This window comes from Homo sapiens, chromosome 2 (genome assembly GCF_000001405.40).
Source record: "Homo sapiens chromosome 2, GRCh38.p14 Primary Assembly".
Lineage (NCBI taxonomy): Eukaryota > Metazoa > Chordata > Mammalia > Primates > Hominidae > Homo > Homo sapiens.
The window spans coordinates 110,134,973-110,148,897 of record NC_000002.12 but is presented as its reverse complement, the minus strand read 5'-3'; the positions used below and the strand labels follow the sequence as shown (position 1 = coordinate 110,148,897).

The 13,925-nt window shown below is 39.3% G+C and overlaps 1 protein-coding gene across 11 annotated transcripts in view; it reads left to right on the top strand.

The window, feature by feature from the left end:
* Positions 1–13,925, top strand: part of NPHP1 (nephrocystin 1) — an 81,666-nt gene that overhangs the window by 56,116 nt on the left and 11,625 nt on the right. For 10 of the 11 annotated variants that reach the window (NM_001128179.3, NM_001374256.1, XM_005263677.2 and 7 more), the window contains 4 exons: positions 872–982; positions 2,063–2,145; positions 4,329–4,405; positions 5,257–5,356. In NM_001128179.3, coding sequence (NP_001121651.1) covers positions 872–982; positions 2,063–2,145; positions 4,329–4,405; positions 5,257–5,356 — 371 coding nt within the window. Of the gene's footprint in view, positions 1–871; positions 983–2,062; positions 2,146–4,328; positions 4,406–5,256; positions 5,357–13,925 lie in introns of those variants that run through there. The other variant, XM_006712552.3, reaches the window with a different exon arrangement.

Sequence of the window (13,925 nt, the reverse complement as noted above, 5' to 3'; positions counted from 1 at the left end):
AGTCAAGAAGGGAGGGATACAGTTGTCGAGGGAGAGTGAATTGAATGAGCAAAAGAGAAAATAAATGAAAATTCACAAGGCACACATTAGGAAAGTTGAGCAAATATGTGTATTCAGTCTTTAATTTTTGTTCTGTTTATGAAGAACAGTGGTTAATATAAATATCTTATAATGTCTATAAACTATTATTTGTAACACCTCTGGAGACCTAGGCACAGTACTATTAGCCTCTACTCTAAGCAAAAAATAAGCAAAGGTAAAGGTATTTTCCCTTTAAAAGTGAAGTTAAATTTTTAAAATTTGTAATCATTGGCATTGATGAATTCAGTCCATCTGCTTTTTGTTTTTCTTAAAAGGCTTTTATTATAATGCAAAGGCATAAACTATTTACTAACAAATAGGGCTGAAACCCTGTGTGAGGCCGTTCTTGCATTGCTATAAAGAAATGCATGAGGCTGGTTAATTTATAAAGAAAAGAGGTTTAATTGGCCCCTGGTTCTGCAGACTGTACAGGAAGCATGGCACAGGCATCTGCTCAGCTTCTAGGGAGGCCTCAGGAAGCTTCCAGTCATGGCAGAAGGTGAAGGGAGAGCAGGCATCTCACGTGACAGTGCAGGAGCAAGAAGGAGGAAGGAGGTGCCACACACTTTTAAAAAAACTGATCTCCTGAGAACGAACTCTCTGTGGTGAGGACAGTACCAAACCATGAGGGATCTGCCCTCATGACCCAAACACCTCCCACCAGGCCTCACCTTCAACATTGGGATTACAATTCAACATGAAATTTGGTGGGGACATTTATTCAAACCACATCAAACCCCCTTCCCATTTTTTATTTTTATCAATAACTTTAATTTCTTTATCATTTCAGGTTACTCGCATCTTACCATGTTTGCTTGATGGTGATTGCTTTATCAGGTCTAATTCTGCATCTCCAGATCTTGGAATATTATTTGAACTTGGAATTTCTTATATTCGCAATGTATGTCCGTTGAAAGATAAGGCTTTCTAATGTATCAGTTAAAAGGGAAGGTTAAAAAATGTGTCTATTGACAAGGAAATCCTTGAAGTCTTTATGTGTAATTGAATTTTAATCCCTTGAGGAATGAGAATGCCAGTGATTCTAATTTTATGTGTGCTGATTTGTTTTCGTAGCATTTAAAATAATAGTACTTATTCACATTTATAGCTTGAGTGAACTCCAGTGCTTTTAAAGAATAAAAATTCAAAAAGGATGGGACTTTGCAGAAAGTGAGAAAAGATGCTCACTGGCATCCCAGCGCCATGGTTCACCTCTGTCTTCCAGGGGCAGAGTATACTTAGCCTTGTAACTGAGGTTTCTAATTAAGGGACTTAGCAGAGTAGTGACTTTTATAAAGTGAGTTTAACTTATGTCATATAAACTACTGAACCAGTGGGTGGGGCTCTGTGCTAGTAATTAAATGTTTCCACATACTAATAATAGCTTGATAGGTATAGTATATATAGTTGACCTCATGGTAACCCAGAGAGCGTTACAGAGATGTTACATTAATGGTATTACACTGTCCATTCATTTGTTTAAGGCAAATTCATCCATATGTATTGTGGAGGGGGTAGGACTGGGGAAAGGAGCAGGCCCCCCAAAGGAAGCCTTAGGGGCCTCTAGCAACTGACAGTGGGGGTAAAATTCCAAGCAGAAAAGCCCTTGAATGATTAATATCTGCATTCTATCTGTCAGTGAAACAAAGGTTCATCATCCCATGTAGTACTGATATGATTTGAGATCACTCCACAGAATGCTTATATCAGTCAAGAGACAATGGCAGCAGTTGCCACATCATTGGTTTAAGGGATTTTCGAGAGCAATTTTGACAAAATATGATTATCACTTGATATACTACCTTTAATATCTGACCCGCAGGCAAAATGAGATTCTACTGTGTTTCATTTTATTTTCTTGTGAAGAACTTTTTAGTTCTAAAGGTGAATACTAATTTTGTTCCTTTAAAAGGACTTGGTATGTGCTTATAAATTTGACTAGTTCAGACCTTAAGTTTCATATACTTGTCTTATTTCCTAGTCAACTGGTGAAAGAGGAGAGTTAAGCTGTGGCTGGGTGTTTCTTAAACTTTTTGATGCCAGTGGAGTTCCTATTCCAGCAAAGTAAGTTGGCTATATATTCCTAACGAATGAATACTTCTGTAAAAATTCATTTTTTAGACTCTTGATACCTCAGGTTTGTTCTATGAGCATGCCAATAACTTTTGGGGAGAGGACTTTTTATGTTGACTTTAGTGTTGTTTAGGCAGTGTATGAAAACAGCATGCACAGTCTCATCCTAAGGAGGAAGAAATGACTCCTAGAGAAGAGGTATTTTAAAAGATGTTTGCACTAGCCATCTGCTGAGAATATTCTTTCAGTAATTTCCTATGGTATTAACACATTTCACCATGCTGAAAACAGAGCCTAGTTGTCTTCAAAGAGTGGGAAAGTTAAGTCCAGAGTCCAGAGGTCCTCTGTGAGTCTCTACCCTTCCTCTGTAGGTGGGACATTGAAATCACAGTGGCAACCACGGTAAATGATTTAAACTTTAAGATCAAAAGGCAGACTGGAAGCAAATACTGCAATATGTACAGAAGAGTTAGAAGATCATTATCCCTAATATAAAAGGAACTCTCAAAAATTAATAAGAAAAAGATCATCTAAATTTTAAAATGGAGGAAAAGAAAGATCTAAATCTAGGATATAAACAAGAAATTCAAGAAGGGACACAAATGGGCAGGCAGTAGGATGGTGATTAAGATCCCAAATTTGGATTATAAAATTTTGGGCTCCAGTCCCAGCTCTACCCATGTAACTGTAGGTGGATTTCTTAACATCTCCAAGTCTGAATTTCACCTATCTTTAATCTGGAAGATTGTAATAATTCCTACTCCAAAGGCTTGTTGTGAGGATTAATTTAGATAATGCGCCTTATGTGGCCTCCTGCCACATTGGCAGAGGTAGAAGTCCTGACTGTACAAGTCCTTTGACATCATCCTAGAGGGTGCATTACCTGGGGTGCCAGGTTTCTTGTGATTGTTATTTGCTTTTTTGTTTTTGTCTTTTAATATGCTCAGGGTTTTTAGTTGTGCTTAGTGGAAGAAATAAGGAATTGTATATCTATTCCATCTTTCTGAAAGTGAAGTCACAGCTATTTTTTTAAATGAGGTAGAGCTCTGTGTATTAATATAGACACATTTTCAGTGTATTAGTATATGGAAAAAGTTGCAGAATATTTTGAATACTGTGACTCCACTTTTGTTCATTAAAAACTATTTGTGGGCCAGGTGAGGTGGCTCACAATGCCTGTAATCTCAGCACTTTGGGAGGCCTTGGCGGGAGGATCACCTGAGCCTGGGAGTTATAGACCAGCCTGGGCAACATGGTGAGACCCTGTCTCTACAAAAATAAAAAAATTAGCCAAGCATGGTGGCACACGCCTGTAATCCCAGCTACTCAGGAGGCTGAGCTGGGAGGATTGCTTGAGGCTGAGAGGTCGAGACTGCAGTGAGCAGTTTTCATGCCACTGCGCTCTAGCCTGGGTGACAGAGCGAGATTCTGCCTCCAAAAAGCAAAAACAAAACAAAGCAAAACTGTTCCCAGAAGTTGCCTCTGAGGAGCAGAATTGAGGAGGTGGTGCATTACAATTAAAGGGCTCTTTTACCTTCTTCTTTCTACACTTAGTATGTGACTTCAAAAGAAAAGCATGTAGAGTGTTAGTTTTGAAGCATGTGTTAGTTTTGAAATTCACCGTGTTTATACATTTGTTTGCATTTGCATAGAAAAGATAGGGCAGGAGATTAACCACACTAGAGAAGGCGGCATGGGGAGGGATTTTTCACTTTTTACTTATCATTCCTCTGCCATTCAAACTTTTTATAATAATCTACACGTTACTTTTATATTTTAAAAATAATATAAGTTCATAGTGGCCTCATTTCAAATAATGATTTAACACATTTGAAAAATACATTAAAAAAAATCACTTGTCATTAATGTAAGTCATTAAGGTCTGAACACGTTAATGACTTGAATTAATTTTTCTCATTTTCAAGGAAAAATGTATTTTCTACAGTGTATAGTTAGGAAAGATAATTTTCTGCAGCTTATAATTAGGAAAGAAAGACTGTTTATTTGCCCAGATAGTACCTCATGGAGGGATCAACAATTATTCTTTTCATTTACCAACGAGGCATAAATGAAATGTCTGAGTATATTAGTGCTAAAAAATATTTAACTACTGACTCCAGTGTTTTCTACATGCCCACAGCTTATATCTGTCATTGTATGTTATTCTTTTATAGAACTTATGAGCTTTTCTTGAATGGTGGTACTCCTTATGAAAAAGGTATTGAAGTGGACCCTTCAATATCCAGAAGAGGTATGGCTCTCATGTGTTGTCTTCCTTTCCTTAAAGATTAAACAAATAGAAGCATCTGAGAGGTAGCTACATTCTAATAAGCATAGCGTTTTTTACTTGAATTCACACTTTTAAAAATATGTCATTTGATATAAAAATTTTAATCATTTTTAAGTACTTATTTTCTTGGTAACACATATGAGACTCTAAGACATCATGAAGAATGAAATCATGAAGAATGAGAACTAATGCATTAGTTCCTTTTCATTGACCACTGAACTGATACTTGTGACTAATACAGAGACTGCCTATTGCTGGGTCAAAGGATGCAGACATTTGAAACAGTAATATGCATGCCAAATTGCCCTCTAGAAATATTGAGCATCTTTTACTATGTTCATTAACCAGGCACTGTGCTAGATAATGGGAGAATGAAGAGCAAGACAGATATGGTCATTGCCTCATGGGGCTCAGAGCCTGACAGATTTGGAATTCCATTTCCACTCCTCAGCCACCCCTCTATTTGTTTGGTGATTCAAGACATGCCACCTCTGCTGACCCCACAACGCCAGTCCTGCCTTCTTGGAACAGAAAGGAGTTTGGGGTCTGGGATGCAGTTGGTTCTACCTGGAGTCAGACATGCTGTTTTCCTTTGTAATCTGGCAGCAATAATGCTGTAACTCATGTGATTTAGCAAACAATCCTGTGCCCTTAGGGAGGTCTCTCAGCTCATTTAGGGTATATGGATGACTCTTGCCTTTCATTCAATTCAGCACTACTGGGTGGTATATTTTCATGAAATACTTGTTTTATTATACTCACTGTCTCAAGTACTTAAAGTTTCGTGAGTTACTTTTGATTTTTCTTAAAAGCACACGGCAGTGTTTTCTACCAGATTATGACAATGAGAAGGCAGCCTCAACTTCTAGTGAAACTGAGATCCTTGAACAGAAGATCAAGAAATGTACTAAGGTGGGTACCTGCTTTTACCTGTCCAGTGAATTTGGGATCATTCAGCACTTGGAGACCATCTCTGCTTTTGGCTTTTCCTCATATTTAGTCATCTTTTGTTATAATATTTTTGTCCTCTTTAATTCTTCCCCCAAAGGTCAGTAGGGAAATGGGTAACAAAGCTGAAATTAGCTTACTCTTCTATTTACTAGTTAGCTCTTCTAACCAAATCTGTTATTTGAGCCATCTAGTAAATAGAAGACTTGACTAAATGGGGCTTACCAATGCATGATTCTACCCTCAGGGAACTTTTTTAAATGTCAAGTTTATTGAGATATAATTTACATGCAGTAAAATTTACTCTTTTTAGTTTATAATTCTTTGTGTTTTGACAAATGTATACTGTCATGTAATTACCACTACAATCAAGATAGAGAACTTTCCCTCACTCTAAAAAGTTATCTCATGCCCCTTTGTAGTCAGCTCTGTATCCCCAGCCTCAGGCAGGCACACCTATTTTCTTTCTCAGCAGTTTTGCTTTGTCCAAAATGTCATACAAATGGAATCATAACACTCAGGAGCCTTTTGAGTCTGGCTTCTTTCACTTAGCCTAGTGCATTTGAGACTTACCCATGCCATTGCATGTGCCAGTAATTTGTTCCTTTTTGTTCTAAATAGTACAGACTGTCCCTGACTTACTCAAGATTTTTCAACTTTACCATGGTGCAAAAGCAAAACCTGTTCAGTAGACACTATACTTCAGTACAGATTCAATGAATTACATGAGATATTTATACTTTATTACAAAATAGGCTTTGTATTAGATGATTTTGCCCAACTGTAGGTTAATGTGTTATGAGCATGTTTAAGGTAGGCCTGTCTAAGCTCTGATGTTCAGTAGACTAGTTGTAGGCTGGGCATGGTGGCTCACACCTATAATTGCAGCACTTTGGGAGGTGGAGGTGGTAGAATCGCTTGAGGCCAGGAGTTCAAGACCAGCCTGGGCAACATGGCAAGACCCCATCTCTACCAAAAAAAAAAAATTAGCTGGGTATGGTGATGCACACCTGTAGTCCCAGCTACTTGGGAGGCTTAGGTGGGAGGATTGCTTGAGGATTGCTTGAGCCCAAGAGGTTGAGGCTGCAGTGAGCTGTGATGGTGCCACTGCACCCCAGCCTGGGCAGCAGAGTGAGACCCTGATTAAAAAAAAAAAAAGTCTAAGTGTATTAAATGCATTTTCAACTTATGATATTATCTTCAACTTATGATATTTTCAATTTATGATGGGTTTCTGGGGCTATAACCCACCATAAGTTGAGGAGCATCTGAATTCCCTTTGATAGATATACTACAATGTGTTTATTCATTCACAAATTGAAGGGCATTTGGGTTGTTTCTAGGTTTGGGCAATTATAAATAAAGCTGCTTTAAACATTTGTGTACAAATTTTCTGCATGTGGATATATGTCTTCATCTCTCATGGGTATAAATACCTAGGAGTGAGATTACTGGGACATATGGAGTTTAACTTTATAAGAAACTGCCAAACTGTTTTCATTTTTCTTTTTCTTTCTTTTTTTTTTTTTTTTTGAGACAGAGTCTGGCTCTGTCCCCCAGGCTGGAGTGCAGTGGCACCATCTCGGCTCACTGCAAGCTCCGCCTCCCGGGTTCACGCCATTTTCCTGCCTCAGCCTACCGAGTAGCTGGGACTACAGGCGCCCGCCACCACGCCCTGCTAATTTTTTTGTATTTTTAGTAGAGACAGGGTTTCACCATGTTGGCCAGGATGGTCTCGAACTCCTGACCTCGTGATCCGCCCACCTCGGCCTCCCAAAGTGCTAGGATTACAGGCTTGAGCCACCGCATCCGGCCCTACCAAACTGTTTTCAAAATGACTGTAGCACTTTGCACTCTCATTAGCAATGTATGAGAGTTCCAGTTACTCTATATTCTTGACAGCACTTGATATGATCAGTTTTTCTGTTTTGGCCATTCTAATAAATGAGAATAGTGGTTTCTCATGGTGTTTTAAATATACATTTTCCTCAGGGAGTTTGTAAACTAATAAAATCTCAGATCTATCAGTTTCTCACTCAGTACCCTCCTAGACTAGTCATTTAACATCTCTATCAGGGTCTTAATGTCTACATCTTTAAAATGGACATAATAATAATAATATCAACCCCATAAAGGTGTAATGAGGTTTAATGGAAAGAAAATACATAAAACAGCCAGTATTTACAGTGTGTGGCACATGGTAACTAACACAATAGTGTTAGCTATAATTATTTACTACTATAATTATCTTATATATAGATAAATGTAAACATAAAGCCAGGTAGATGGTGCTATATCATAAAATTTGTTCAAATGAAGATGTGTAGCTGGTAAAATCAGGGGGCATTTGAAATCACCTTTGAAGGATTGGGAAGATGCAGAGGAAAGGAGCTCCACAGAGGAGGCACAAGGCCAAGAGGGGGAAGGAAGAGCATGGCATGGGACAGAGACTGTTGCAGCTGAACTGTCCCACCATGACCTGCTCATTGCTCACAGATTATTAAGAAGTAGGGAAGTCAGTGAAGACTTGGCATGCTCCTGTGAATGGTTTTTCTCATTCCAGATCATAGTCTTAGCTTAAATATCCCTTGTTCTTACCACTACTACTGAAATTTATTTTATAATTATAGTGTTAACAGTTCAATCTTTCAATAGCCATTAATAATGTGTTCATGGGTATTATTTACTCTCTTAGCTTTTTTCCCCCTTGGATGTTCATAGAGCCTGTAAATCCTCTTTTTTGGCCAGCCTTTCCTTGGAAAATTGTTATTTTTCAAGATTAGAAAGAAAGCAGCACAGTAGTAGTCTTTGTGAAAGAAAACCCAAATCTTGTTTGGCCTCATTCTTCCTACATCTTTGGCCTCCCCACTCCTCATCTTGTTGATAAGCTTCCAAGAGTCCGGAAGCACTCCCATGTGTATATTTCAAGTACAGCTCTTAATAGTGTTTCTTTGGCCCCCAAATACTGGTTTTCAGACACTTTGTATGACCTCAAGATCAAATTGGACTGTGTGGTGCAGAAGTTAGCAAGGCAGCCCCTTCTTCTTAAGCAGTGAATGCTCTACTGTATGCTGGGTTCTTAAAGGTCCTGTGTCCTTGTGCTCCATACCTCAGGACTGCGTCATTTGTTTCATTACAGTACAGAATAGGCACCCGAAAAATGTTTGTGAAATAATTTCAAAGCAGAGCTCTCCCTGCTAGTGTGAAAATATACTCCTCAGGACTTCCGCTCAGCTTCCACCTGTCCCTGGCCTCCCTCTGCCTTGTCTTGGTGTGTGCTCTTCCACAGAGAGACTTGAGTGCTGGCTTGAAATTGCCTCTCCACTTTGCATGACCCCAAAATATACATTCCTGGGAATTTCAAACGTGAGTTGGGACACACTGCTGGTGCAACTCCAGGCTGGCTCGCACAGAAACCAGCTTATGGGCAGTGAAACCTGGGCCTTGCAGCAGGGCTGGGGGCTGTAGTCAGGGGGCGGGGTGGGGCTGTGCTGTGGGTTCAAGGTAAGAGACTAGGCACCAGCCTGGGCCCTTTTGGACATCACTGAGCCTGTGCATCCTGGAGGTGGAGACTGAAGCAGGACTGATCCATTTCAACATCCTCTCTCCTCCCCTGACCCGAAACCTTCGGTAGGTGGGAGAACAAGACGGGTAATGACACCAATAGTCCTTCTCCTCCTCTCCTTCAAAGGCACGCCCCGCCTCTATCCTCACCCTCCCTTCTTTACAAACTTCACCTTTGTTTATGCAAACTTCTCTGCTCAAAGGAGAAAGGACAGGGGCTCTTTCCATTATGCCAAAGGACATGAGACAGTGGAGACAAGGCCAAGGGCAGAAAGCCTAGTTAGAGTTTGCATTAGTGCCCATTTTTACCCAGTGCCCTTGCTGTTTGGCTTTACACTGCCCTCTCTGACTCAGCCAGCAGTCCTACACATGTATATCTTTTGGATATCAGGAATCCTGTGAAAATGTGAATTATTCGGTGTAGACCACTGGCACCAGAGTCCTGCTCACGGGGCTTGGCAGTCTTCTTTTGTGGAGTAGGTTGTGATCATGGCGACCTTGTCAACATAAGAAAAAGAGAGCAAATAGATGCTTCAGTTTCACCAAGATTTGTCTTTTGGAGCTATTTTTCAAAAGGGTTTAACTTGATGTGATTTGACCAAAAGCATGTGTATAAACCCCTGAGGAGGGAAAGCCCTGAATTTGACTTCAGATTTTCAGTGCATGAGTTCTAAATATCAAGAAACCCTGATCTGGAGAAGTAGGTTGCGTGTGTGTGTGTGTGTGTGTGTGTGTGTAAATTTGCTATAAATTCATTATCCTTTTTTTTGATGCATTCCATCTTTTTTCTCCTTTACTTTCATTATATCGTTGCTAAAAATAAATAAGGTAATAATGTTAGTTGCTTGAATGCTTGAGACCCATTCATTGTGTTCATTGCCAGAGTTTGCTGGTCTACATGTGAATTCAGGAGGAAGTATATTTTTACTTACTTAATTCAGCTAACCTTTAGCAGCCCAGAACTTTCTATTCGTCTTAAGTTTGGGAAAATCAGATGCTTTCTCTAAAGAATATCTAATAAAGGGCAAGCAGCATTGCTTCATGTTGTGAGAAAGTGCCAGAAGGAAAGGAGTGCCCACACTGGGTGGACCAATGCCTGCCAGGCAAAGCAGGCAGGTCTACGAGAAAAGGAGAGGGCCAAGCAGAAGGAAGGAAGTTCCCACCCCTTTCCCTGGCAAAACCTTGGCTGTTCTTCATCATGAGCCCTGAGTTTGGGCATGCAGCTGAAACACTGTGCAATGGGACCGTGGACCAAAGGGCAGAACATGAGCATGTTGTTCATGCTCAGGTCGTTCTGCCCCTTGCTCATGAACATGTCCATGGTCCCAGAACAACCCAGAATCAGAGCCTGATCCCTGAGAAAGCATGTGGTGACACTGAGGCAGCTGAAATGGTCCCCTGCATCCCGTCTTTAAAATGTAGGTCAAATGTATACAAGATCAGAATTTAGCCAGGTTGAAAAAAGACAGTTTAAAAAAGACAGTTTCTGACCTTATGTATCACATGCTGTATATCAAGATAACTGTGCTAAGAGAACCTGTATTATATTTTTAGATGTTTCTAGAAATTCAGGATTTAAAGAGTGGTCAAGGATACTTCTTTAATTCCATGAAACTTTTTTTTTTATTATAAGTTTTAGGGTACATGTGCAGAACGTGCAGGTTAGTTACATATGTATACATGTGCCATGTTGGTGTGCTGCACCCATTAACTCATCATTTAACATTAGGTATATCTCCTAATGCTATCCCTCCCCCACCCCACCCCACAACAGGCCCCGGTGTATGATGTTCCCCTTCCTGTGTCCGTGTGTTCTCATTGTTCAATTCCCACCTATAAGTGAGAACATGCGGTGTTTGGTTTTTTGTCTTGCGATAGTTTGCTGAGAATGATGGTTTCCAGCTTCATCCATGTCCCTACAAAGGACATGAACTCATCATTTTTTATGGCTGCATAGTATTCCATGGTGTATATGTGCCACATTTTCTTAATCCAGTCTATCATTGTTGGACATTTGGGTTGGTTCCAAGTCTTTGCTATTGTGAATAGTGCCGCAATAAACATACGTGTGCATGTGTCTTTATAGCAGCATGATTTATAATCCTTTGGGTATATACCCAGTAATGGGATGGCTGGGTCAAATGGTATTTCTAGTTCTAGATCCCTGAGGAATCACCACACTGACTTCCACAATGGTTGAACTAGTTTACAGTCCCACCAACAGTGTAAAAGTGTTCCTATTTCTCCACATCCTCTCCAGCACCTGTTGTTTCCTGACTTTTTAATGATGACTGTTCTACCTGGTGTGAGATGGTATCTCATTGTGGTTTTGATTTGCATTTCTCTGATGGCCAGTGATCATGAGCATTTTTTCATGTGTTTTTTGGCTGCATAAATGTCTTCTTTTGAGAAGTGTCTGTTCATATCCTTCGCCCACTTTTTGATGGGGTTGTTTGTTTTTTTCTTGTAAATTTGTCTGAGTTCACTGTAGATTCTGTATATTAGCCCTTTGTCAGATGAGTAGATTGCAACAATTTTCTCCCATTCTGTAGGTTGCCTGTTCACTCTGATGGTAGTTTCTTTTGCTGTGCAGGAGCTCTTTAGTTTAATTAGATCCCATTTGTTAATTTTGGCTTTGGTTGCCATTGCTTTTGGTGTTTTAGACATGAAGTCCTTGCCCATGCCTATGTCCTGAATGAGATTGCCTAGGTTTTCTTCTAGGGTTTTTATGGTTTTAGGTCTAACATTTAAGTCTTTAATCCATCTTGAATTAATTTTTGTATAAGGTGTAAGGAAGGGATCCAGTTTCAGCTTTCTACATATGGCTAGCCAGTTTTCCCAGCACCATTTATTAAATAGGGAATCCTTTCCCCATTGCTTGTTTTTGTCAGGTTTGTCAAAGATCAGATGGTTGTAGATATGCGGCATTATTTCTGAGGGCTCTGTTCTGTTCCATAGGTCTATATCTCTGTTTTGGTACCAGTACTGTGCTGTTTTGGTTACTGTAGCCTTGTAGTATAGTTTGAAGTCAGGTAGCGTGATGCCTCCAGCTTTGTTCTTTTGGCTTAGGATTGACTTGGCAATGCGGGCTCTTTTTTGGTTCCATGTGAACTTTAAAGTAGTTTTTTCTAATTCTGTGAAGAAAGTCATTGGTAGCTTGATGGGGATGGCATTGAATCTATAAATTACCTTGGGCGGTATAGCCATTTTCACAATATTGATTCTTCCTGTCCATGAGCATGGAATGTTCTTCCATTTGTTTGTATCCTCTTTTATTTCATTGAGCAGTGGTTTGTATTTCTCCTTGAAGAGGTCCTTCACATCCCTTGTAAGTTGGATTCCTAGGTATTTTATTCTCTTTGTAGCAATTGTGAATGGGAGTTCACTCATGATTTGGCTCTCTGTTTGTCTGTTATTGGTGTATAAGAATGCTTGTGATTTTTGCACGTGGATTTTGTACCCTAAGACTTTGCTGAAGTTGCCTATCAGCTTAAGGAGATTTTGGGCTGAGACAATGGGGTTTTCTAGATATACAATCATGTCATCTGCAAACAGGGACAATTTGACTTCCTCTTTTCCTAATTGAATACCCTTTATTTCCTTCTCCTGCCTGATTGCCCTGGTCGGAACTTCCAACACTATGTTGAATAGGAGTGGTGAGAGAGGACATCCCTGTCTTGTGCCAGTTTTCAAAGGGAATGCTTCCAGTTTTTGTCCATTCATTATGATATTGGCTGTGCGTTTGTCATAGATAGCTCTTATTATTTTGAGATACGTCCCATCAATACCTAATTTATTGAGAGTTTTTAGCATGAAGGGATGTTGAATTTTGTCAAAGGCCTTTTCTGCATCTATTGAGATAATCATGTGGTTTTTGTCATTGGTTCTGTTTATATGCTGGATTACATTTATTGATTTGCATATGTTGAACCAGTCTTGCATCCCAGGGATGAAGCCCACTTGATCATGGTGGATAAGCTTTTTGATGCATTCCATGAAGCTTAATTACTCGTGGAATCCATTGCTGTCACCTCATCACAGTGGTCACATTCATCCTGTTCTCTTCCAACAGGCTGGAAGCCTGAATATTACCTCTGTGATAATTTTCCCTTCTAAAAATCTAATCTTAGGAATTAAGATAAAGGATTAATTTACAAAAAGTAAGATCTCTTTTTAAATCTTTGGTGATTTTTCTCAGCCCAAAGACATCTTCCTTTTGATAGAAGACAACATATCATTTGTAAGGTTTTTGAGATTTTCTATATGGTCCTTCCTCATGCTTAATGACAGAGTTTATATATTTCTAAAAATAGTATTAGAAATATATATTAGAATGATCTAAGATATTTTCTTGAGTACTTTCAAAGGTTAAATCTTGTGCATGATACATTCCCAGTATTTACTATACATCATGTGTGAGGGTCTTAAAGAACTCACTTTTTTTTTTTTTTTTTTTTTTTTTTTTGAGACGGGGTCTCGCTGTGTCTCCCAGGTTGGAGTGCGGTGGCGCAATCTCGGCTCACTGCAAGCTCCGCCTCCCGGGTTCACGCCATTCTCCTGCCTCAGCCTCCCAAGTAGCTGGGACTACAGGCGCCTGCCAACACGCCCAGCTAATTTTTTGTATTTTTAGTAGAAACGGGGTTTCACCGTGTTAGCCAAGATGGAAGAACTCACTTTTCATGTTTCCAGATTATTATTTTGAAATCTAAATATTGAAATTTTTTATATTTTTAAATTTCTGACTATTTTTTGATGCTATTGTAAATTGTTTTGTTGGTTTCCTTCTCAAATTGTGCATTGTTAGTGTATAAAGTACGATTTTTACGTGTTGATTTTGTATTCTGCAACTTTGCTAGTCATTTATTCTGAAGGTATTTTTCATGGAGTATTTAGGGTTTTCTACATATATTCTACATATTTCTACATCATTTTGTCTGCAAACAAAGACACTTTTCTTTTTTTAGAAAAA